This window comes from Homo sapiens, chromosome 5 (assembly GCF_000001405.40).
Source record: "Homo sapiens chromosome 5, GRCh38.p14 Primary Assembly".
NCBI lineage: Eukaryota > Metazoa > Chordata > Mammalia > Primates > Hominidae > Homo > Homo sapiens.
Window position 1 is genome coordinate 10,411,725 of NC_000005.10, and position 21,384 is coordinate 10,433,108.

Here is a 21,384-nt window from a genome sequence, read left to right on the forward strand (position 1 = left end):
TTGGGATTCCCTGGGCTCTTGCTCCCTATTTAAGAGGAAAAGACTCTAGAGTAATTAAGAAACTAACATTATTGATACATTTCAACAGTGTGTCAGGAACTAGAATGGGCATTTGGATGTTTTCTCATTTAATCTCCACTCAAATACTGCAAAGTGTAGGCGATAATTTCATGTTTATAGCTAAGGAAACTGAAGGCAATATTGGTTAAGAATGTGCCTATTACATGTTCGTTAGCAAGTGATCAATCTTTGTGCACCTCAGAATTTTGTCAGAAATGTAAGCTGATGACTGCTATATGATTACAGTGAAGTCATCATTTATATCAAGTCTGTTATTTTAAAATGCCCTTTAATAATGACATGGGCTTGTGAGTCTGATCATTTTAAAACTTGGGCAGGTTATTTAACCTCTCAGCCTCACATTTCTTTTTTTGTAAAAATAGTCATTATTATACCTTTGTAGATTACTGTGGGTCACATGTGTTCAGTCATTCAGCAAACATGTCTTAAGTGTCTATGATTGATATTTTCAGTGTCTGTGAGGATATAGAGAGCATACGTGGTCTTTGCTCAGAAAGAGCTTACAGTCTACTCAGATGAGAAAGACAGTGGCAGATTTGAGCTCTCATGCTGGTGTTTACAGTGGGTGCTGTGACTCCTTCAATCAAGAACCACTTGTTCTTAATATGGACCCAAAGGAATCTTCCTAGAATAGGTGGTGCCTGAACTGTCTTAAACATTGAGAGACCTGTCAGAGAGTGAAAAAAAGGAAGTGGGAAGGGCATTCCAGGAATATGTCAGGACTAGGGCACATTAGGCATGGTGGGCTTAGAATTGCAGATAAGAGAGTTGTGTTGTTTTGTTTTTGAGACAGGGTCTTGCTCTGTTGCCCAGGCTTGGTTGCAGTGTGCGATCATGGCTCACTGTAGCCTTAACCTCCTGGGTTCAAGCGATCCTCCTACCTACTCAGCCGTCCGATTAGCTGGGACCATGGGTGCATGCCACTACACCTGGCTAATTTTTATATTTTTTGTTGAAATGGAGTTTTGCTATGTAGCCCAGGCTGTTCTCAAACTCCTAGTTCAAGCAGTCTGCCTGCCTCGGCCTCCCAAAGTACTGGAATACAGGTGTAAGCCACTGCGGCTGGCCTAATTGAATATATTTAGAGGGTGAGGTGTATGTCCAGGAGAGGTGAGGAACAAGGGGAGAGATGAGGGGCCATGGGAGTGGTGAGGGATAAGGTGGGGAAGAGGTGAGGGACAAGAGGAGTGGTGGGAGATAACGCTCTTGAATGGGCAGGAACCAGATAATGGAGCACCTTGAGCACCCTCTGCATGAGTCCACACTCACTGAATTGTTCTTCTGCTCCTTTGTCCCCTTGAGGGGCATATCTCTGTTCCTGATTCAGTGGCTTATTCTAGAGGACTTTGCTGCATAACCTTGAGGAAAGCATGAAGGTCATCTTTTCCTTTATCTCTTAATAGCAGATCTCATAGTCAGCTCCCGTTTTTCCCCCTTGGTCTTTACTCAGCTCTCTCGCCTCTCCGCAGACAAAAAAGGCCTTCTGAGCAACAGTTACTTTCTGGCCAGATCAGAGACAGACTCAAAAAATGACTTTTCACACAGTTACAGCTGACAAAGCCTCAGAGTCTCCTGGGTTTTGTTATCTGTCCTTTTCGGGCTTCCCACCAGAGCTCTGCCCTCTGGTCTTGTGGAGATCCACCTGGTAAGCTAGCAGGCAAGCTACAGTTGCTGCCTTTCTGCTCAGGGAAACTGGTTTCCTCTTCTCTGTGTGATCACTTTTTATCTGCACTTCTGTATTAGTCTGTTTTCACACTGCTAATAAATAATCTGAGACTGGGTAATTTATAAAGGAACGAGGTTTAATTGACTCATAGCATTCACATGGCTGGGGAGGCCTCACAATCATGGTGGAAGGTGAATGATGAGCAAAGTCATGTCTTACATGGCAGCAGGCAAGGGAGCTTGTGCAGAGGGACTCCCATTTATAAAACCGTCAGATCTGGTGGGACTTAATTCACTACCAGGAGAACAGTATGGGGGAAACTGCCCCATGATTCAGTTATCTCCACCTGGCCCTTCCCTTGACACCTGGGGATTATTACAATTCAAGGTGAGATTTGAGTGGGGACACAGTCACACCATATCAGCTTCTCAGTACAGGAGCACTAGTTTATATGGCTATTTACATTTCAATTTAATTAAAATTAAATAAAGTTAAAAATTTCATTACTCATTTACACTAACCACATATCAAATGCTCAGTAGCCACATGTGGCCTAGTGGCTACTGCATTGAGCAGTGCAGATCTAGACATTTCTGTCATTATAGAACATTTTAATTGGATAGCACTGTTATTTGATTAAAAGGTGAATGTTTTTAATTTGTAATGTTTTAATAACAAGGGAAAATTTAAGGTGAATGTTTTTTTTTTATGCTCTCTGATTAAAACATTTGCCATTTACTTGTGGGATGTATCTGATTATGTGAGAATGGATACTTATTTTCATTTTGGCCTAAATCATAGGTAATTTTACTGAAAATAAAAATTTTATGTGAAATTGCAGGAAACCTGGCAACGCAAATATAGATGATTTCTTTTTAATGGGAAGATTGTGTTGATTCTTTGATAAAATACATTGAGCACGTGTTCTCTATTTATGCACTCCTTATGTTTTACTTTGCAGATATTTCTGTTGATTGTCTTCATGTGTATAACATTACTGATTGCCAGCCTCATCTGCCTTACTTTACCAGGTATGAGCTTGTGCTAGCCTTCAGCTAATAGCATCATTAAGGTTATTTATTTAGCTATTTGACAGAGTCTTGCTCTGTTCCCCAGTCTGGAGGGTAGTAGTATGATCATAGCTTACTGCAGCCTTGAACTACTGGGCTCAAGCAATCCTTCCACCTCAGCTAGGTCTATAGCTCTACTTAGGAATTCAAAAAGTATAGTACCATATTAGGAAGACAATCTGTGGAAAAAATATACTGGAAATTTGGGTCTTACTGTTCTCTCTAGCCTATTGAGAAGTAATCATATAAAGTAAGTTACTAAATTATGTAAATGGTCTTATCCAAGTGATTGTTGTGGGATGCTATAGAGTTTATTCCGAACAACTTTTTGTATGAGGCACTCCCTTAGACTGCTCTCAAATCCATTTTTCACATTCCAGCATATTCAGATAGTCTTAACTTTTTCTAAGAAAATTAATATGGTATTCTTTGATTATTGTGCTTTAAAATGTTATTTTGCCCACTCCTTATTAAAATAAGCTTAGTTTTCTGTCTTGATGAATGAGCCAATTGGAAGATAGTTACTCTAAATTATTTGTAATGTTTCTACATATTAAAAGTATTGACATCACAAATAAGAGAAGAAATTCCCCACTTTTGTCCTATTATTTGCATAACAGTTTCATTTGGTGATAAAAACAATGAAAACATTAATTCCCTCAAAAGCTTTTTTAGACCTAAAAGAATAAGTAATTGGCATGACAAATCAGAGTGTATGTCCCAGTAGAGCTCGCCTCCATTGAACTTACCTTGTTTTGGTTGTGATTTCATCAAATTGTGTACTCTTTAGACATTGTGATTTTTGTCTTTTGTTTTTTTGATGAAGACATTGATATATCGAATGTGATATCTTTTTCCTAATGTGAAAATACTAACATAACAACATGAAGATGACAATTCTCTTTACCTAGCCACATGTCTCATTTATCAGCTTTTCTATTTTCAGTATTTGCTGGCCGTTGGTTAATGTCGTTTTGGACGGGGACTGCCAAAATCCATGAGCTCTACACAGCTGCTTGTGGTCTCTATGTTTGCTGGCTAACCATAAGGGCTGTGACGGTGATGGTGGCATGGATGCCTCAGGGACGCAGAGTGATCTTCCAGAAGGTTAAAGAGTGGTCTCTCATGGTATGTGTGTGTAATACAAGACTGATCTTGTATGTTAGGAATAGTGAATATTTTTCCAGTCATCTTAAATTTTTTTTTTTGGCACATTTATTTCCTTACTATATTGTTTCAAGAGAGTTGATTTTTTGAATTAGAAGAAATACTCTTTCAAGATAGTGGCTTTCTGGTTCATTCTTGTTCAGAGTCCTACGTTCAGATATATGAGGTTTAAAAGAAAAACAGGTTGGGCACAATGGCGTATGCCTGTAATCCCAGTACTATGGGAAGCTAAGGCAGGAGGATTGCTTGATCCCAGGAGTTTGAGACCAGCCTGGGCAACAAAGCAAGACCCCATCTGTATTTTAAAAAGTATATGTATATAATATATTTTTACTGGATCATTTAGTAGCATGTTTTTCTTTATACACGTGCATGCACACACCTACACATGCTTATATTACTTACTTAAGGGCCTTACTGGACACTTTGTAACATTATTGCTCTCAGTAACACATATGACTCCCACAAATGTAGGATAAAAAAAATACTGTAAGATGATTATCTGAGTGCAGTGATTTATGTCTGTATGTGTGTAATGTTGGCTGCAACTGGTAACTATGCTTAGGTTACTGCTTACACCTTTTCATTTGTATAATCAACTCTTAATTTTTTATCGATTTATATTTTGATTTTGATTTCATTAGAAGTTTAATATCCATTTAATATTAATGTTGAAGAAAAATATAAAATCCATTTTTATAGTGAGAGATTCATTATATATTATGGAGGGGTATAATTGCTATTTAATCCATAAGATAATGAGACAACCATATTTAAAATACAGAATCCAGCTAATTCCAGTTTTCATTTGATAGTCTTCCACATTATTAGAAAGTGCCATATAGAGAAACAAGTATTTTGTCTTCCATACACATCATATTTAGTCTCTTGTTGAAACAGGTGTGTTTTCTGAGGCCACCTGAAGTAAAAGAGAGGTCATGAGGATCCAAGGCCACTTTAAATCATTTTTTTTTTGGTCAGAATTTCATCATTACTCTTTTATAATGTCTCCTCTCTGTGTCAGCTTTATTTTCATTTTGCCATTTAGTCCAGTTGCTAGAGCTGCACTATCTGGTATACTAGTCAGGTGGCTAAATGGCTACCATATTTGACAGATACAGGGTATTTCTATCAGTATGGTAAGTTCTATTGGACCATGTTGTTCTTTGAGGGAGCCAGTTTGATCAGCTTTATTAATTACTTTAGGATTGTGCAGAGCCCTCCCTGTATACCAGTCCACCTCAAAGTTCACAGATCAGCCTGTGTATGGGTGGGCCACCGTTGGAGCAGGGGCCTTGGCCAGTCGGTAGCTTTTCTTGGGCAAACAGAAACCTAGTCCTAAGAACTGGATTGTGAGAAAAAAACAGCCCAGCCAGCTGTGTGCTTTTTATGTAAGAGACTTGAGTACCTGCAGATTTTCTGGATCCTAAAACCAGTCCCCGTGGATACTGAGGGATGACTGTGGTTGCTCTGTTAGGCATCAGTCTCAAACCTCAAAATGGAAATAGAGTTTGGCTCAGAAAGATCCTCTTTAATGATGTGGGCTCCTGTTTCCTAATAGATCATGAAGACTTTGATAGTTGCGGTGCTGTTGGCTGGAGTTGTCCCTCTCCTTCTGGGGCTCCTGTTTGAGCTGGTCATTGTGGCTCCCCTGAGGGTTCCCTTGGATCAGACTCCTCTTTTTTATCCATGGCAGGTAAATGTATGTCTTTTGCTCATGTTATTTCATTAAGGATTTGAGATCAGAAAATAATCCTAGCCAGGCATGGGGCTTACGCCTATAATCTAGCACTTTGGGAGGCTGAGGTGGGAGGACTGCTTGCACCCAGGAGTTCGAGACCAGCCTGGGCAGCATGGCAAGACCTAGTCTCTATAAAAAATTGGCTCATGCGTCTGGTCCCAGCTGCTTGGGAGGCAAAGGTGAGAGGATCACAGGAGGTTGAGGCTGAAGTGAGCCATGTTCATGACACTGCACTGTAGCCTGGGCAACAGAGTAAGAGCCTCTGTCCAAAAAAAAAAAAAAAAAAAAAGACAAAAGGAAAAAAATATAATTTTTAATTATTTTAGGTGATTTTAAGCAGCTGGTTTAGAAAGACTAATTTTTTTTTTAATTCTAGGAACTCTTATAAAATTGTTTAATGCTCTTTAATCTTTCAGAATATGCAGGTCTTATAACTCCTTTAAAAGTGCTTACTTTATAGGTTAAAATGTTACTAACCATTTAGTCTTCTCTAATACTTGAAAATACAAATTAATAGTCATTGATTTTTGTTCACCTTTGAGGTAGGGTGAATTGTCTTACTCCTTTTGACTTGGAGGCTTTAATACTTTTGAATTATTATAGCATGTTTTCCCACAAAGTCACAGATTCATTAAAAAGAGTATCCTGGCTGGGTGCAGCGGCTTATGCCTGCAATCACAGCACTTTGGGAGGCCAAGGTGGGTGGATCACCTGAGCTCAGGAGTTGAAGACTAGCCTGGACAACATGGTGAAATCCCATCTCTACCCAAAATACAAAAAATTAGCCAAGCGTGGTGGTGTGGGCATGTGGTCCCAGCTACTCGAGAGGCTGAGGTGGGAGGATCTCTTGAGCCTGGGAGGCCGCGGTTGCAGTGAGCTGAGATCATGCTACTGCACTCCAGCCCGGGCGACAAGAGTGAGACCCTGTCTCCAAAAAAAAAAAAAAAACCAAGAGCATCCTGAGGGAACCCATGTAAGTCACAGCAAAGGTCTTAAAGCTCATGGAAAAAGAAATGGAACTTTTCTATTGTATTTAGAGCCTGAGGTTTTTAACATCATAGAATTAAGATCTCAAGTTCTTAGTAGGTATTGGGGGAAAAGAGCTAGGTATTGACTTCAGTCATTCAAAGGCTTTTTAGCTTTGTTTTTATCTGTTAGTATATTGCAATGGATTTTTCAGAAAATGAAAATTATTTGGCCCGTATTTCCCTTTTTCTGCTTTCCAGATGGAGAACCTCCACAAACTTCATTTACCCGAAAATTTTTATTTAAGTGCTTTTAATGGTGTACCCACACCCTGGATTGTATCACCCAGATGAAAATGAGGCTAGTGCAGTAATTTTCCTGAGGAATTTACACACTCTGATGGGAAAGCTAGACAGGTACACAGGTGTTGTGTGGTGTGATTAGGGGAAGCACAAGGAACTGTGGCATTGTGTAGGAGAGACATTTAATCTAGCTTTGGGAGTTTCAGGTATGGTGTTCCATAAGAGATAGTATCTAAGCCAACCTAACTAGTAGAGAACAGAGAAGTGGGTAAGAAAGGAAGAAGTATATTCCAGGAGGGAGATGGGCAGACCTGGCTTGAGACAAGGCATGCATATGTGGGGAACTGCCTCCTTTCTAGTCTGGTTCATAGACTAGAATAGGTGAGAAATAAGTAATACAAAGAAGTACAGAACTGACTTGTGTTTTGATTTATGACTTTTTAACTTTTTGATGGTTGAAAGCGATACACATTCAGCAGAAACTGTACTTTGAGTACTTCTACAGCTATTCTGTTTTTCACTTTCAGTATAGTATTCAGTAAATTGCATGAGATAGTCACTACGTAATTATAAAATTACGTAGGCTTGTTAGGCCTCAGTTATACTACAAGGCAAAAAATAAAATAGGTTTTGTGTTAGAAGTTTTTGCCCAACTATAGGCTAATGTAAATGTTCCGAGCGCATTGTGATAGGCTGGGCTAAGCTATGATGTTCGGTAGGTTAGATGTATTAAATGCATTTTTGACTTACAGTGTTTTCAATTACAGATGGGTTTATCTGGACCTAACATCATTGTAAGTTGAGGAGGATCTAATTAAGCATATGTTATGCCTTTCTGTAAGAGCCGTATTCCAGAGTAGTCAAATAGTATCTGTAATTGAAGGAAAGAGCTACCTTTTTTTTTTTTTTTTACAGAAAAATGCCAGCAAATAAAGGTAGAGAGATTAACACGATTAGAAAAATACTATTTTGCAATACCTAACAAAATAATTGATTATAGCAAGGATTGTTAATGGATGTTGAACCCAACAGATGAAAGGTTGATCAGTCTTCAGTTGCTATTGCTGTGTAACAAGTTATCCCGCAACTTTGCAGCTTAAAACAACCATTTTAATTTTGTCCATAGAGTCTGTGGGTCAGATATTAAGACAGGGCATATCACTTTGCCTCTGCTTTGTGCTATCTGGGACTCAGCTGGGAAGATTCAATGGCTGGGAATGATTTGACAGTTATGGATGGAATCATTTGGCTGGAAACACACAACTAGTGGAGGGGTCAGGCTGATAATACCCTAACCCAGTCAGTGATCACTTAACAGTGTGAGAGTTGATGCTTGTTGTTGGTTGCTACCCATCTGGGGCTGTTGACTGGAGCTCCTATATGTGCCTGGGCTGCTTCATAGCTAAGTAACCTCAAGGTATTTGGGCTTCTTACGTTGTAGTTCAGGGAAATGAGTGACCCCACAAACAAGAAGCTGCATCATCTTTAATGACCCCATGTCAGAAGGCCTACAACATCACTTTTCAGTACATTTTACTGGGTATAAGCAAGTAACAAATGTTGGCTAAGATTCAAGGGAAGAGGACATAGACCCCCTACCACATGATGGGAAAATAATTTGCAGGTATGTTACATTGCAGTGTGAAAGTGGTTATTTGAATGGTGGCAAAGTGTCACCTTATGGATTACTTTATGGCTCAAAGGGAAACACACAACTAGTGGAGGGGTCAGGCTGACAATACCCTAACCCAGTCAGTGATCAAGCAAAGTACTGCTGCAAATGGGACAAACAGATACTATCTGCCTTTTAATGTTACGCAGCATGAGCCCTGGAAAAGGCCAGAGCATCCCGTGGCATCAAGGAGCCATCTTGGCACTGTTAGCCAGGCCTTAGTGTTCTCCTGTTGGACATAAACAATTTGACAGAACATCAACATCATACACTGTCACTCTGTGATCAAGATAGAGGAAGACAAAAGCAAGACCCTCTGCAATCATGTCTGAACACAGACAGAACAGGAGCATTATTCAAACCACAGAAATGACCAAACATTCCCCTTTACTGGCTAACATGATTGGTTACTGCCTCATTACCAATTACAGTTTTAGCTTCTGCCACTTTTTCTAGATAAGATTTATTTATTAAGATAACCATTCACAGATTACTCTGCTTTCTAATAGCATCTGATACAGACCAAATTCCTGCTTCTTAAATCCTCCCCCAAATCCCTAACATAAGCTGAAATCCTGTAATAACCCCTTTCTAGCACTCTTACTGAGGGGCCCCAAGTTCTCCATGATGTGTTACTCCCTTGCTGCAATGAGTAATAAATGCAACTTGTTCTAGTTATACTTGTATTTTTGGTGGTCTTTACAGTACTCAGCATTACTTCTGAAATCATCATCACCTTAGAGAATTCTTTGGTACTATCAAAGTTTAAAAATGCTTATATATTATGACTCAGCAGTTTGGCTTTTCAGAATCTACTGTGAGGCATGAGCAAGGCTGTTTCTGCAAATACATCATTTTTTATAGCAAAAAATGAGAAGTGATCTAGATGTCCACCAATAGAGAATGCCCAAATAAAATGTGGAATATCAATGCAGCAATTGAAAAAATGAAGTAGAGATATTTGTTTTGATATCGATAGCTCCCAGACGTGTTTCTGAGTTGGGGGAAAGCACAAGCTGTAGACAGATAATGTGCAGCGTGCTATCCTTAATGTTTTGCATTAAACCCCCAAGTTTTTGAAGGAACAGTTTGCTTTTTCTTAATTCATGACTTTAAGCTACTTGCCTTTCCTGCAGCAAGTGGCTGCAGCTCCGTGGGATAGTGGGCCAGTTGGAATTCTAGCAGAGCAGCTAGTGTGGTGTGTCCTGTCTGGCAGGAGAGGACTGCAAAGCAGTGGGTTTTTGGAGAACGCGAATCACAGTGATCTTGGACCTCCTTGGGTAAACATTAATCTCATTTGGGTGTCTGCTGGACTCCCAGAAGGCCAAGAGAAAGCTGAATTGGTGGGTTGTTGCATCTTCCCTGCCTGTGAGAAAAAGCAGGGAGGCTTTCTTCATGTTCCTCAGTAGGAGACTGTTGGAGGGCTATCCCAAAGGTCTGAAGACGTAAAAGATCCTTTTGAAGCCCTTTAGGATATTCTCAGCCAGGCCCAAGCCTCCTTGAGGCTGCAGAGGAAATTATAACAAGTGCTTTATATGCAGGAGGCTTAGCAGCCGCAGAAAGGAAGTTAAGGCAGAGCAGTCAGAACACATGCCAGTTTGACAGCACTGCTTGCAGAGCCATGAGCTTCCAGAGAGAAGAGGAAATACACGGACGCCGAGTGCAGTATGTTCACACGCACATACAAACAGCAGCTCTAAAGCAGAACGCAGTTGTTGTGGAGCTGTATGACATAGATTTCAGACAAATCTAGTAGTGAAAAAAGATGTGGACAGTCACCACTGGGCTTGGCTTGGAGGCTTGGAAGATGAATGCAAAGCACTGGGCAAAACGGAAGAGGAAATTGAGAAAGAGAAATGTTTTGGAGGAAACATCTAGGAGACTTAGCGTACTGATAACGGGGGTTCCAGAAGGAACAAATGTGAGGCAGCATTGATACAAAAACAGGAGAAAATTTAACTGAATTGAAGAAAGATCTGATTCTGTAGTTTGAAGGGGCTCATGAGATTTGGTAAGATTGAGATCCAAGATAAAAACACGTAATTGGGTATATCTTATTAGACACGGGGAAATCAAAACAAGCTTCAAAAAACTGCATTGTCATTGGACTTTTTTTCTGTAGCACTGAAAACCATAAGATCAGAGAATTTATAGACGACTGGGTAAAAGGGACAAAAGCCAAGCTTCCTCTACCCAGACAAAAAATCATTTAGCTGTTCACCTATCAGGGTGAAGATTGATATTTGAGGGTATTCAAGAATTCAGTGTATGTATCAACCTCTCACCCCATTTGAAGAAGATCCTTAGAATAACCAATCAAACCAGTAAAGAAATGGGAACATTGGCCTCAAGATGGTAGACAGTGAAGAGGAGAATTAACAATCTGAGCAAAGTCCATATGAAAATGATACTACATACTTTCTATGGGATATAGATGTATAGATGCAGCTGAATGCATGGGGAAAAACATGGATGGTATGTACCAAAAGCTAATAGTGGTTATTGCTGGGGAGGGATCAGGATTTAAGGTAGTGATCACAGAGGACTCCCGTCTTTTCTGTAAAGATTTTGGTTTTATGTAAGAATCAGTCTAAATGTTACATGTGGTTTCTTTTTTTTTTTTTAATACCGTTTTTTGTTGTTGTTGTTTTAAATAAGCTAGATAGAGACCAGGTTATAAAGGGTTTTGTGTGCCTTGCTAAGGACTTCAGGGTTGTTAAGCAGGGAAGTTACGTTCATGATCTGATTTGCATTTAAAGAGATACTTGGTGGTGGTGGGGAAGGGGGCTGTGGGGAGGGAGGAAGTAGTCATCACTCTGTCTGGTGGAGAGCTGGAGGGTGGGCAGGCCAAGAGTCCGTTGCACCATGAGGAGGAACCTAGTAACAGTTCCCCAGTAGAACCACAAATGCTTCAAGCTAGAAGCTATCTGTGAGCCTTTAGAATGGTTTCTTAGGCCAAACTTTGCTCCACAGTCTTAATTTGACATAAATCAGCTCACTTGAAACCAATGAAATAGCCTAAAGATAGTTTGAAATAAAATCTTGGCATTTATTTTATTTGCTTTTTGAGATATCCATTAATGACCAGACTTTCTCTAACTCTTGGGAAAACAATATAGATTTTTAAAAGATAGAAGAACAATTTTTGATGGAAACATTGAATTTGAGCTGTTGAAGAAAAAAAATTCTCTGGGTTTTCAGTACGTTAGTCTTTTGTAAAATTGTTGCCAATCCTATAGAACTTCTATTTTGATGTGAAATAATGTAAGAAAATTATACAGCCTCTCTGCTGTGTTTATTGTTAAAAAACAACAGAAATATGTTAAATGGTTTTTAATTCCCTAGGACTGGGCACTTGGAGTCCTGCATGCCAAAATCATTGCAGCTATAACATTGATGGGTCCTCAGTGGTGGTTGAAAACTGTAATTGAACAGGTAAGCAAAATCAGTTTTCAGAGAAAGACATTCTGGAATTGGTTGTGTTTATGTTTGGCAGCTATAACTCTTATTTCTTATCTTCCTACCTTGCTGAGTTTTCTACATTTTTTTTGATGGGCATATATAACCTTTTTTTTTTTTTTTAAAGACAGCAGTTTAGTTTTACCACTGTAGGGGAGGAAAATAATTTGTTCTCAACCCTTGTTTTTTTTAGTTAAAATGGAACCCTTTAATAAAAGACAACAGAAAAACAAAAGTTTATTAAAGTACATATTTCATATATACATGGAGATACCCAGGGAATGAGTAATTTCAAAGAGGTGGCTTTGAATTCCAACGAATCTTCAACAAAGAATAATAAATTTTTAGAGAAGTGACAAGATGAAGGAAAAGGACTTTGAGTCTCTAGGGGTGGCAAGTGAGGGGAAGCAAAAAATTGGCAGATGCGGCTCCTTAGTAAAGCTTGGCAGTGTTGATTCCTCTGGTGCCATCTAGAGGCCCAGAAAGGCCCAAAGCTCTCTTCAGTGGGTAATCTTTGTCCTTCATGGTGTAGGGAAGTGGGGTGGGCTACCTTTTGTCTTTATACATTTATATTCTGCTTCTAGGCAATAGAGGGAGGACGGAAAGTTTTCCTGCATCTATTCTTTCTCAGTTGCATTCAACTCAAAACAATCCTTATGCCTAAGAGGCATATTTTTAGGGTGGCATATTGTGGTTTTCTATACTCCCATGAATTTTCATCAACCACGTTTAAGCCATCCTTTATCTGAAGGTTAACCAGTAGCTTACGGTATCTAGAACCCTGTTCATAGTGGAGACAAAAATGAAAATACGTGCTTTTTTTCTGGTGAAGGTTGATATTAATGTTTCTAAGCCTGTAGTAGATTTGGAGTGGGGGAAAGGTTATTGCTCGAGGTAATAAAAGAAGACAGAGGAAAAAACATTACAAAAGGAGAGCTGTTTTGGCTTCATCTAGCTACATAGTACCTAAGACTATTATTGTATTACAGAACTGCCAGATAATTTGATTGTTGTGGGAATACCTTGGAAAAGGTAGACTGTGCTTTAGCACTCCGATAATAAGACTAGAAAGTATGGTAATTCATTTAAGGAAAATTTCTATCCAAAATGGCCAACATAACAGATTTTGCTGCTACTTTACGCTTTAGCTATATGGCAAATGTACTTGTGGGGACCCCTCTTATCCTTAGGCCAGTGCCACATAAGTAAGACATAACAGTTCTGCAGCAGTAAAGTACACCTCTTTTTGCTGTATGAGAAGTAAAGACAGTAGTTAGCCAAGCATGCTCAAGAAAATCTGTTCAAAAAGTGCCTGTATTTCAAGATTTTGATTCTTAGGAGTAGGGGGGTTAGGGAGCCAGCAAATTGCAGTGTGTTTGTGTGTGTCTCTAAAGTATGGGCTAATTCTGAAGTCCACCAGGAGTGTGATGGATTGGGGGCTTCTGGCTTCATATCCCTTCAGGATCAGAGTGCAGGCCAGTACACTCTAGAATGGCCAGGTTAGCCTCTGGCCCTTGAAAAAGGAGCATGGAGATGGGATTTATTCATACTGGAGGCTGTGGAACATCATTGATCTTCTAAATAATTTGTTATCTTATTCATTGTTTTCTCTTGCGTATGTGCGTGTGTGTCTCTGTAAATTTAAGAAAAATGGTTGGAAATGGTTGAGAAACACTGGGATGCCTTGCTTCATTGATTAAAATGCATTTGGGTTAACTAGGTGTCTTTGGGAATGGCAGCATGCCTTTAAAAGGTTAAGCATGTTTGCCATTCAAATTCCGAGGTGATGGGGTTGAGTTATGCTACATTCAGTCACAGCTAAGAGAGGTTTAAGTGCTGCTGGTGAGGCAAGAGGAGAAGAAAATAACAGCCTTCTAAGCCTTGTTTCTGTCTGCACTCCATCTAAATTTTCTGTTCCCAGGGTTTTCCCATTTCCATCCATTCTTTCCTCTGCATTACTCTTGTAGAATTTTCTGGATAAGATGATGGAAATATTCTAGTAATTCTTGGACTTGCTTTTTTTATATTCACTATAGAATTCTTTCATACTAAATTTTTAAATACCTTTTGATTTGTTAAAATTTGATTTATGCAAGCTTTTCAGAAACGCTTCCTGCTTCAGTGTTTTCTCATCATACTCAGATAAAATGAATGCAATATTGTATAATAACACAATATTACATATTACGTATCTCTTTCATAAGATGTATGAAGTTACTTCAAGTAATGTGGTCTTGAATGAATACCACTGAATGTCATCTGGTATTGTATAGTGCAAGTAGAGTATAAATTATTCTAGATTAGTGTCTTATTTCATCACTTAGCAGAGCTAACTGCAGAGCGTTAGTGGGTAAATACATTTCTTCAGAAACTCGTGGGCACTATGCTTATGTTGATATACCAGAATTTGCCTTGACTTTAGAAGAAGTAACCAGTTTGACTATTTTTGGGTTGGCAGATTCAGTTGTGTGGAGATTGCTGTATTAACTTGGAGGAATTTGTCTTGTATCTTTGTTCTAATTGCTTTTTGTAATGTTTCAGGTTTACGCAAATGGCATCCGGAACATTGACCTTCACTATATTGTTCGTAAACTGGCAGCTCCCGTGATCTCTGTGCTGTTGCTTTCCCTGTGTGTACCTTATGTCATAGCTTCTGGTGTTGTTCCTTTACTAGGTACGTAATGCTGGTTGTGGAGCCTTGAAGGAGCACTTTTATTAACATTGGACATTCTCTTTACCCCTAGTAAAAAGGATGTCTCACTCCATATGCTTTATTTGTAAATGTGAATCCAGCTAAGACAATGATTTCAAAATACCACTTTTCTTAGATTTGACTATTCTGGGTAAGATTAGAGGATCATAAAGCTCTTTGATACAGTTCTTTTCTCTACCAGAAGATAAAACTTGAAATTTACATGCTGTACAAAATAGGCAGGATCAGATTTCCTTCAGGTTGTCTTCTTCTGACTAGAAGTGCTGTGATCATATAAAATTAAGTAACAGTGTTGTTGTATTTAAGTTTTAAAGAAATATTCTTTGGCATAAAAGATCCAAAGAGGAGATGCTAATGGGCAACACGTTTATACTGAAATACACTGTCTTGTTGATTGTGTAGTGAAGACTCCTCATAGCTCCTTAAACCCAACATATTTTCAAAATTATAAGCAGAGACTTTTCCTTCCCAAATCTTTTTCTTCTCCAGAATTCCGTCTCTCAGCAGCAAACATTATCATCCAACAAATTGCATAAGTCAGAAACCTTGAAGGCTATCCATGTCACCTTATTCTGTCCTCCATGTCCCTCTGGTCTCCAAGTGTCCCATTCTTCCCTGAAGAATCTGGTCTCTCGTCTCTGGAGCCTTTGCTCCTGACTTTTGTTGAGTCATTCGTCTCCTACCCTAACTTTGGCACCTTCCTATCTGGTTTCCCAGCCTTGAACCTGCCATCACTAATTCCTTCTCCACACTGGGCACAATGACCTTTCAAAAGAATGAATCTCATTGTACCTCTTTGGTGAACATTTTTTTCATTGGTTCCTCTGTGGCCTTTAATGCAGTCCAACCTTTTGGCATAGTTTACAAGGCTCCTCCTTTTGCTTTGATGTGGGCTTCAGTTTGACCTCACTCCATGTCATATACTCTGAGTTTTGATTAAACAACCATGGAATGGCCTCTTATCAAACACACAATGTCCTCTCCATAACTGTCTCCACATTTTCATTTGTCTTATCCATCTGCCAGAAATGACCCCGTCCTCCCTTTAACCGTGAGAGAGGAGCTTAAAAAAAACACACAACCAAACTTGCAGTGTAACATGTATACTTGTATGTTACCTTACTAGGTCAAGAAATAGAACTTTTCCAGCCCTTTGGAAGCCCTTTGTGTGTGTGCCCTTCTTTACCTTTTGCCACTGGTTTGACTTCTAATAGTCTCATTGCTTCTTAGACAGTAAAGATATTAGCCATGTGCAGTAGCTACTTGGGAGGCTGAGGTGGGAGGTTGCTTGAAGCCAGGAATTGAAGACCAGTCTGAGCAACATGGCGAGACCCAACCTCTAAAAAAAATAAAAATAAATTATCTGGGAGTGGTGGCGCACACCTGTAATCTCAGCTGCCCTGCAGGCTGATGCAGGAGGATTGCTTGAACCCAGGAGTTCAGGGCTAACCTCAGGTTGTGACACTCCAATCTAGCCCAGGCAACAGGCCAAGACCCTGTCTCAAAAAAAAAAAATTGCTCAACACAGGTTTGTATAGAGAGAGGCTGAGCAATGTATCCCTCAGTCTGCAGGATGGCATGGGAAACAGGGAACAGTTAAGCTGAGGGCCCACAGTGTGCAAACTGCATCATTTCCTGGTTCCTTCTAAGTAGAAACTTCAAGGCTTTTATTTGGTTTGAATTGTGACTATGCCAAGTATCATAAATACCATATTAAAATGCAAATATATATTTCCTGCAAAATATATTTCAAAGCCCATTGCTTTTTAGTTTTTTTTTTTTTTTTTTTTTTTTTTGAGAGACGGAGTCTCGCTCTTTTGCCCAGGCTGGAGTACAGTGGTGCAGTCTCGGCTCGCTGCAACCTCCACCTCCTGGGTTCAAGCGATTTTCCTGCCTCAGCCTCTTGAGTAGCTGGGACTACTGGCATGCGCCACCATGCCCAGCTAATTTTTGTCTTTTTGTTAGAGACAGGGTTTCACCATGTTGGCCAGGCTGGTCTTGAACTTCTGACCTCAGATAATCCACCCCCCTCGGCCGCCCAGAGTGCTGGGATTACAGGCATGAGCTACCACACCCAGCGCATTGCTTATTAGTTGAATACGTCTTTAAAATTAAATTATTTTGACTCTTTAGAACAATCTCTTTACTGGTTTTGTCTAGAGTAGGAATGCCCTATTTTCTTTTTTATTCTAATTAGCATATATTATGTTCTGCCCATTAATAGTATATAGACTTAAGAATTTGGATTTCCAACCCAGTCATTCATGTTTTCATTTTTAAAAATTTTATTGTGAGCATTTCTGGAAAGACTTTGGAAGGGAAAAAGAGTGGCAAATGAAAAATGTTGGTACCTGTTTTGCCCTGTTTAGATGCTTTATGTAATTCTTACATGTTATTCTTAGGGTAGCTTTTTAATATGTTTTGTCAACTCTGTTTTAGAAATGGGAAATTGAGGTTCATAGAGATTGAGAATCTTACCCCAAAGTCTGGTTTTTAAGGAGTAAGAGCAGCATTCAGATTTCAAACTCAGCTCCAGAGCTTATGCACAGCACACTATTGTGGTGTTTGGAATAATCCACCTGACGGTATTAATTTTCTGAATTCCTCGAAAGTACTTGCTCTGATTTTAAAGCCCCCCAGTCCCCTCTGCCAAAGAAGTATTAAAACTCATGAGTTAAATATAGAAAAATAAATACATGTGTGTTCTAAAAGTTTGAGGATTTTTTTATTATATAAGCACAGTTTTGGTTTTGCTTCTTTAAACTGTGGTGCAGTAGAAATGTATCAATGACACCACTGCTTGTGGAACATGAGAAGTCATCTCGTCCAGTTCCTTTTTTTTTTTTTTTTTGAGGCAGGGTCTCACTCTGTTGTCCAGGTTGGAGTGCAGTGGCTTGATTGATCTCGGCTCCCTGCAACCTCCACCTCTCAGGTTCAAGCGATTCTCCCACCCCAGCCTCCTGAGTAGCTGGGACTACAGGTGCAACGCCACCACACCTGGCTAATTTTTGTATTTTTTGGTAGAGACAGGGTTTTACCATGTTGGCCAGGCTGCTCTAGAACTCCTGACCTCAAGTGATCCGCCCGCCTTGGCCTCCCAAAGTGCTGGGATTACAGGCGCGAGCTACTATGCCTGGCCTCCTTGTTTTACAAATGAGAAAGTTGGGGGTCAGAAAGGGCTCATGACCTACACAGATTGTAGAAAGTTAACAGACCTGGGGCTTAGAAAGCTTGTCTGCCCCAGTCCATTCTTCTAGGGGAAGGACATGTTTACGTTTCATGTCACTGTTATTTCACATACACTGAAAGTTTTTCTTTTTTGGTTTTCTAGGTGTTACTGCGGAAATGCAAAACTTAGTCCATCGGCGGATTTATCCATTTTTACTGATGGTCGTGGTATTGATGGCAATTTTGTCCTTCCAAGTCCGCCAGTTTAAGCGCCTTTATGAACATATTAAAAATGACAAGTAAGTCTGGCGTTCTGTTCGTCTCTTGTTTAAGTGTTTTCACTTCTTAATTTATGTATCTGATGTGACAAATCATAGGAGGGAAACATGCTCAGATTCTGGATATACTTGGAGGTGGGATTAGCAAGGTTTGCTGACAGATTGTGACATGTGAAGGAGAGTGGAATCAAGGACTTAGTTGGCCCAAACACAGGGAATATGGAGTTGTCATTTATGGAGCTGGAAAAGACTGGGTGAAACTGTTTTGGAGAGGGAGGTTTTTTTTTTTTGGTGGTGGTTTTTTTTTTTTTTTTTTTGAGACGGAGTCTCGCTCTGTTGCCAGGCTGGAGTGCAGTGGTGCGAACTTGGCTCACTGCAACCTCCACCTCCCAGGTTCAAGCGATTCTCCTGCCTCAGCCTCCCAAGTAGCTGGGATTACAGGTGTGCACCACCATGCTCAGCTAATTTTTGTATTTTTAGTAGAGACAGGGTTTCACCATGTTGGCTAGGATTGTGTCGATCTCCTAACCTCGTGATCCACCTGCCTTGGCCTCCCAAAGTGTTGGGATTACAGGTGTGAGCCACTGCACCCAGCCAAGAGATTTTTTAATGTCCATTCCAAATAGTTTTTCAGTCTGTTTTCAAATGTTCTGGTCTGACAGTATATTAAACAGTTTTAGATAAAAATAAGAAGCCTGCATTAGAAACTAGCAGTGCCTGCATAAGCCCCTCTTGCTTATAGAGGGCCACTAGGTTACTCTGAGGTTGCACAGAGAGGCTTGAGGGTTACTGCAAAAATGTTGTGGGACTCTCTGTTTTGAGGAAACCATTGAAAACTCTGTCACTTGATCTCAGTGAGAGATTGAGGAAAGCCAAGGAAAACACCTTCCTGGGATAATATTTGACCTTTATGTCCGAACTGTAGGCTGAATCATCTGCTTCAATGGGTTCTAGCAGAGAAAGTGAGTTTATGGTTTATCCATCTCAGTCGGCCAAGAGAGTCCCAGTTTATACCTGCTGCCTTTGTGTCATTAACACTACCCCCTTTTACTTGTGCTTGTCCCCCCTTGCACAACAAATTATAGAGTTACCTTATTTATTCTGAGGAGTAAGATTTTTGAGAATGAAATTTATAGTGTTCAAGACTTCTCCAAAGCATTTACTGACAGTAAAAAATACAAGTACACTTAGGCAGTCAGAGTACAAAGGACTGTCAACTGAAAGAAGGGGAAGGGGTATTTTCAATGATGAAAATCAACTTCTTAGCACTCAACTTTTTGGCAGAGGAGTAAATACTGCAAACAGAATGACAAGCAAGACGTGCCCTCAGGGAACTTTCTACCTGCTTCTTTCTTTATGCTGGATGCCTGCCTTTCTGCACCCTGCCCTTCTCAGCCTTTGCCAGGGGTCTAGACGTTCCCATTGACCTCTTCTTTCTCATGCTCTATCTTCTTCTGCTTTTTCCTGTAGCCCAGTGTCCTCTTTCCTCTTTTCCCATCTGTTCCTTTATGCAGAAAGGTGTTGAACTGTAGACTTAAGTGAGGGCATGTCTTGTCAGCTGTTGTATATGTACTCTTTAGCACAGGGTTTGGTCTGTGGGAGGTGCTAAGAGTGAGTGAGTGTGTGTGTGTGTGTGTGTGTGTGAGAGTGTATGTGTGTGTGTGGTGGGCTTGAGTATGAGAGAGTGAGTGGTGGTGGAAGAGAGGGAGTTGGGTTCAGAGTCTCCTTTCTCTGCCACTGAATTACTCTTTGGACTTGTACAATTTAACTTGGTTTCTGTATGCTTTTTATTTACTTACTTTGTCATTGCCATAATGCTGACCATATTTTTAGTGTATCTTGCTATTTAGTCATTACTGTGTGCCAGGTAGTGCTGTGTATATTTTAGTAGATATTGCTCAGCCTTCACTGTTTAAAATATTTACAAAATTCTCAAAGTTTTAAAATCAGTGGTTGGTTGGGGAACAGTGGGGTAAGGAATGGCTAACTTCAAGAAAAGAAGGTAAGACAAAAGAAAAGGAATAAAACAGTGACATTATGGATAAAGATGCAGTAAGATTAGCGTACTTTTAAAAAAGTGACATATTAAGCTACTGGACATAAACTGCCAAAATATTTCCTTAGGCTTGTGTGCATTTACAGAAAAGTGATAGATAAAAGTCAAGGTAGAGAAGGTACTGGTGAAAAGTAAGAGTTCCCACAGTGAGCCCTTACAACATGCTAAGCCTTTGTCACCGGGCTGCATACACTTTCCCTTTCTTAAAACAATGCTGCAGCGTGGGACTGTCGGTCTCATTTCACTGATGAGTAAATGGAGGAAAGGGACGAAGGAAAGCTACCTGACAGCCTGTCATGTGCAGGTTTCACTCTCCCTCAGTCTCCTTCACTCAACTCTGTGGGCTTTTACTGGACATTCTCCCTGATCTGCATCTCTGCCTCCAAATGGGTGCCCTTCACACTTGTGCCCAGCCACCTACAGCTTGTTGCTTTCCAGCTTTGTCCCTGCTGTCCTCTTGGGATCAGCCTGCAAGCCATCTGCTCACATTAAGTAAGGCAGGCCTTCAGTGAGCCTTCGATGCAGCTGTCGCCCTTCCCTGGCATTGGAGATGTCTGTCTCCTTGAGTAGGATCTCCTGCCCTGTCACTCCAACTACAGTAACATCTGCCTTGTTTCTGCAGCCCTGTGGCCTTTGCCATTGCCTTCTCCTTTCATCACATACATAAGTTAGGAACACTTGCCATTCTGTTGTTGAACCATATTCTCCCACCTCCTGTCACTCATACTCACTCACTGCAATGCTGTCTTCCCTTTGACTTCACTGAAATTTCTCCTTTGATTTCTCCTTTCTTCTCTGTAACTAGAACTTCCAGTTTTACTTTCATCCCTTCCTACTTTTTTTTTTTTTTTTTTTTTGAGACGGAGTCACACTCTGTCACCCAGACTGGAGTGCAGTGGCACAATTTCAGTTCACTGCAACCTCTACCTCCCAGGTTTCAGCAGTTCTTCTGCCTCAGCCTCTCTAGTAGCTGGGACCACACACACCCAGCTAATTTTGTATTTTTAGTAGAGATGGGGTTTCACCATGTTGGCCAGGCTGGTCT

The 21,384-nt window shown here is 40.2% G+C and overlaps 1 protein-coding gene across 11 annotated transcripts in view, besides 1 other annotated feature; it reads left to right on the plus strand.

The window, feature by feature from the left end:
* MARCHF6 (membrane associated ring-CH-type finger 6) overlaps nt 1–21,384 on the plus strand; it is an 86,694-nt gene that overhangs the window by 58,030 nt on the left and 7,280 nt on the right. For 7 of the 11 annotated variants that reach the window (NM_005885.4, NM_001270660.2, NM_001270661.2 and 4 more), the window contains 6 exons: nt 2,709–2,778; nt 3,764–3,945; nt 5,546–5,680; nt 12,011–12,100; nt 14,666–14,798; nt 18,169–18,304. In NM_005885.4, the coding sequence (NP_005876.2) occupies nt 2,709–2,778; nt 3,764–3,945; nt 5,546–5,680; nt 12,011–12,100; nt 14,666–14,798; nt 18,169–18,304 (746 nt within the window). Of the gene's footprint in view, nt 1–1,550; nt 1,704–2,708; nt 2,779–3,763; nt 3,946–5,545; nt 5,681–6,951; nt 7,904–12,010; nt 12,101–14,665; nt 14,799–18,168; nt 18,305–21,384 lie in introns of those variants that run through there. The other 4 variants (XR_925577.3, XM_047416612.1, XM_011513934.3 and 1 more) reach the window with 4 other exon arrangements.
* Nucleotides 9,108–10,307: an enhancer, noted in NCBI's record as "MED14-independent group 3 enhancer chr5:10420944-10422143 (GRCh37/hg19 assembly coordinates)". NCBI's record gives its function as "activates an origin of replication core promoter dependent on BRD2, BRD4, P300/CBP and CDK7 cofactors, and independent of MED14, by STARR-seq in HCT116 cells {active_cell/tissue: HCT116}" and the evidence as "EXISTENCE:reporter gene assay evidence [ECO:0000049][PMID:35650434]".